Genomic DNA, 5,288 nt, shown 5'->3' with positions numbered 1-5,288 from the left:
GAGACATAACACCCCTCTTTGTGCCAGAATAGGGTAGTTGTGGGGGAGGGCCTGGCCAGGACCTCCCAGCTCCACCACTTGAAATGATTTAATAGCCACATCGTCAGTGTTCCCAGAGTACACAGCCGCCTGCCTCCGGGAGAAGGAGAAAGATGGATACCTGGGGCTGCAGCCCCACCTCCCCTCACGTTTGAATGTGGTACTTTGTTCTTTGGCACTTTCAGAGAATGCAGAATTCACACCACTGGCACCCCCAACACACACATGTCCACACTCGGGAAAATTTACATATGCGAATAAATGTGAAGGACACATGTGGACACTGCGCTGTGCTGAGAGACGTTTGAAGGTGGAAACTGCTCCTCTTTCAGATTTGTATTCTCACATTGCCTAGCAATGCCTGGCACAGAGCAGTTGATTAATACATTCTTTTTGAATGAATACATGAGTAACTATAATTATAACCATTTAGTTAACACTTAGTAGGTGCCAGGTATTGAAGGAAGTGCTTCATAAACATTCTCTTGTTTAACCCTCAAAACAGACCATTAAATTAGGTGCTATTTCTCTCCCCATTCCACTGATATGAAGAGTGAGGGTTAGGCAAGGCCAAGCGTTTTATCCAAGGTTACACCACTGGCCAGAAGTAGCAAAAGACACCTCACTCCAGAGTTGATGCTCTTAACACTTTTCTCTACAAAATCAACTACCCAAAGTGTAAGGTAAGAATATTTCTACCTATGTTATGTACAAATAGCAGTAGTGTTATTGCCAAGGTACAAACACCCAGCTGCAGGCCGCAATTATGCAGTGTGTCTGTCTCAGACATTTCTTTCTTTTCCTTTCTCCCCATCCCCAGTTGTTAGAAACTCAATGGAGGCATCAGCTTCAGAGTAAAGACTGTATATTTCCACATGATAGGAAAAGCACCCTGAGTTTAGCTCCCTTCAGTGAGCACAGATATTTTCCTGAAGGGTGAATGGGCAGGTTCCTGGCTGTATTAGTTTGCTGTCACTGCCAGAATAAATGATCACGGTAAACCGTGTCCATCACATATATCCTACCTATTTCTGGCAGTTTATTATAGGCATTTTATCTTTTTTTTTAACTTTTAAGTTCAGGAGTACGTGTGTAAGTTCGTTATATAGCTAAAGCCATGTCATGGGAGTTTGTTGCACAGATTATTTCATCATCCAGGTATTAAGCCTAGTATCCATCACTTATTGTTTTCTGATTCTCTCCCTGGTCCCACCCTCCGCCGTCCAGTAGGCCCCAGTGTGTGTTGTTCCCTCTATGTGTCTATGTGTTCTCCAACTTACCATGGTTCGACTTGATAATTTTTCAACTTTACAATGGTGCAGAAGTCATACGCATTCAGTAGAAACCAAGCTACCCTTACAGCCGTTCTGACTTTCACTTTCAGTACAGTATTCCATAAATTACATGAGATACAGGTAAATTTGATTCTCATCTATTAACGTTTGGCTCCTCAATTACTTATGCAAATTTCTGCAGCCAGCTTGAATTTCTCTTCAGAAAATAGATTTTTCTTTTCTATCGCATGGAGGCTGCAAACTTTCCAAATGATTACATTCTGCTTTGTCTTGAATGCTTTGCTGCTTAGAAATTTCTTCCACCAGATACCCTAAATCATCTCTCTCAAGTTCAAAGTTTCACAGATTTCCAGGGCCAGGGCAAAATGCCACCGGTCTCTTTGCTAAAGCACAGCAAGAGTCACCTTTGCTCCAGTTCCAAAAACGTTCCTCATCTCCATCTGAGATCACTTCACCCTGTACTTTATTGTCCGTACCACTACCCTCATTACACATCGACTTAGCATTTTAAAGCAATACTCATTTATTGCTTTATTTTTTATCATTTATTATCTCATGGGTTGGCAGGCCAAAAGTTTCAGGCAGGCTTAGCTGGGAGTACTCACAGTTTCACGAGGCTGAAATCAAAGCCTGGACCAGCTGGACTCTTGTTCTCTTGTTCAGAGGCCTCAGGAAAGAATCTGTTCTCAAGCTCATTTGGGTTATTGGAAGAATTTAGCTCTTTGCAGTTGCAGGATGGAGGTCCTTGTTTCCTTGCTGGTCGCTATTGTTTGAATGTTTGTGTCCTTTCCAAAATTCATGTTGAAACTTCATCATTAATGCAACAGTATTAAGAGGTGTGGCCTTTGGGGGGTTAATTAGGTTATGAAGACTTTGCCCATATGAATGCATGAGTGCTCTTACAAAAGGGATGGAGGAACCTAGTAAGGACCATTTTGTCTTTTCATTCTTCCCACTAAGTGAGGACACAGCACTTGTCCCCTCTGGAGAAGGACACAGTATTCAAGGCACCATCTTAGAAGTGGAGACTGGGCCCTCACCAGACAGCAAACCTGCCAGTGCCCTGATCTTGAACTTCCCAGTCTCCAGAACCATGAGAAATAAATGTATGTTGTTTATAAATTATCCAGTGTCAGGCAGTACAAACAGACTGAGACACTGGCTGTCAGCCAGAGACATTTTTTGCTCTTAGAAGCTGCCCACATTCCTTCCCCTGTGGTCCCTTATATCTTCAAACAGGAAAAGCACACCAGTCCTTCTCATGTTCTGAATCCTTCTGTCTTCATCTCTGTAAACACCTGGAGAAATTGTCTTCTTTTAAAGACTCCTGTAATCATATTAGAGCCATCCAGATACTTTCCTCTTAAGATCAACAGTGCCGTATAGCATAACAGAACTATAGAAGTAATTCAAAAGTTCCAAAGATGAAGGCATTGGATCTTGGGACTATTCCTGGAAATTCTCCCTGTCACATTTCCCTTGATTATAATTGAAGGCAAGAAAAGGAGAAAGCTTTATAGGAAAATAAAGGGGATCAACCCAGGCACACCTTGGTAGTGACCCACCATTTAAAGAATCTGCCAAAGTGGAATGGAAGAATTGCATCAATTACTTCAAAAATAAACAAAGTACATCAGGAGAGAGCAAAGGGAAAATAAGGCGTCACTTAGCAGGCTCTTGATAGATGTATATCTGCATACCTACTTTTCGAGGTAAACTTGTAATATTATATAGAGGAAAGAAAAGAAGAGGGAAACCTCATTACACAGTCCTTGGTTCCATAGGAGTAGTTTGCATGTATTGAGTCCTTACTCTATACCAGGCACAGTTCTGAGTGCTTTACATGTATTAAATCATTTGCTATTCAGATAAAGGTATTATGTTCAGATATTATCACTTTCATTTTACAGATGAGGATTAAGGAACTTGCCAAACATTGCACAGCTAGTGAATGTTATAGACAGGGTTTGAAAGCAGTCTGGTACCTGAGAGTGTGCACTTACACTAGATGCGTTTGGAATCATATCCTTTTGGGGATCCAGCCATGAAAGACCTAGGTCAAAAATTGGGACATAAAATAGGGGCCTGTGACTCTGTGACACTGACTAAGGCCAGTGGGGATCAGTGTGGTCAGGTGGAGAGACCCTGAGGCTTAGAGGTAAGAAGATCTGGTGTCCAGATGCAACAATTAAAGTTAAGAAGGTTGTGACCTTGGGCAAGTCATTGTAGTTATCTAAGCATCATATTCTCATTTATAAGATGTGGATAATAACACCTATCTCTGTCTTTAAGGGATTGTCCTGTGATTCAGTGATGTGCAAGTATGTTAATGGATTATGTAAATCTAAGATATTGTTGCCATCTAATATTCATGTTTTGTTTCTTCTAGATCTCAGTGGCCATGTGATGCCAAGAAGGGTAGCTTTGTTAGTTAAGAGTGATTTTTGTAATCTTAGGCCAAGATTCTTGCTACCTGCAAGTTTCGTGTTAATACTTAAAGTACTACCATTCATTCTTTCCTTTTGATAGTCTGTCTTTGTTTTCCTTCACGTAAAGCCAGTAAGTGTTAATGTCTTTGAGGAATTCTATCAGAGATTATCGGAGGGTATTATCCTATAGAGTGAGTGGAAGATGAGAAACTGAAAGTAGGAGATGGGAGACAGTTGGGACAAGGTCTAAAGGAGACAGGAGGAGAAAAAAGGCTGAGTGATCTCTTAGACTTTTACTTTTCTCTGTAGATGGGTAGAAGGGCAAGTGAACTGGAGGACTGAAGAAGTCAAGGGAAAAGGTGATGTTAGAAGTAGCTTCCTTGGATAAATGAAAGCGAATTGAGTAGACCCATGTTAAAGGATTATCGAGAAACACTTAGAGTCTGGCTGAGATGGGAAATCATAAATTTGTTATGAAGTCAATTAGTGTGATTATGCAATTCTCATCCAATAAGTCACAGCTGGAGAACAGAAGAAAAAATTCTGTGTCTGCATGAAACTCAGAGAGAAACTATGTACTTATTGTGCATCAACAATTCGTTCACTCATTAATTTAAAAAAATGTATTGAATACCTACTGTGTTCCGGACACTGTTCTAGGCATTGACAATAGAACAATAACAAGCCAGGCCAATTTTCTGTCCTTGTGGAACTTGCAATTTTATGGCAAGAAATAGAATGTTAAATAGGCAAATAAGTACATAATTTACCTAAATGCAGACTGTGATTTATCTGTTACTAATGATATAGGCAGATATTGATATATATATATGTATATATATATAAATCTCTCTATATATACATGCATAAGCCTATATCTCTATATTGATATATATGTATATGTATATGTATATCTGTATCTATAATATAACTATCCATATGAAATCACATAGGCTTATAACACTAGCTGGTGAAACACTGTTTCTGAAATTGTTAAGGTATTAAGTATGCATTCCTGTATTAGTCCATTCTCACACTGCTATGAAGAAATGTCAGAGATTGGGTAATTTATAAAGAAAAAGGCTTTAATTGACTTACAGTTCCCTATGGCTGGGGAGGCCTCAGGAAACTTAGTCATGGCAAAAGGCACCTCTACACAGGATGGCAGGAGTGAGAACAAGTGCCAGCAGGGGAAATGCAGATGCTTATAAAACCGTCAGATCTTGTGAGAACTTGCTCACTCTCTCATGAGAACAGCATAGGGGAAACCACCCTCATGATTCAATTATCTCCCACCAGATCCCTCCCATGACACATAGGGATTATGGGGATTACAATTCAAGATGAGATTTGGGTGGGGATACAGAGTCAAACCATAACATTGTGCTCCTAGGCCCTCCCAATTCTCATGTCCTCACATTTCAAAACACAATCATGCCTTCCCAATAGTCCCCCAAAGTCATAACTCCTTTTGGCATTGACCCAAAGTCCAAGTCCAAAGTTTCATCTGAAACAAGACAAGTCC

Source organism: Homo sapiens, chromosome 8 (assembly GCF_000001405.40).
Source record: "Homo sapiens chromosome 8, GRCh38.p14 Primary Assembly".
NCBI lineage: Eukaryota > Metazoa > Chordata > Mammalia > Primates > Hominidae > Homo > Homo sapiens.
This window is presented reverse-complemented; position numbering follows the sequence as displayed.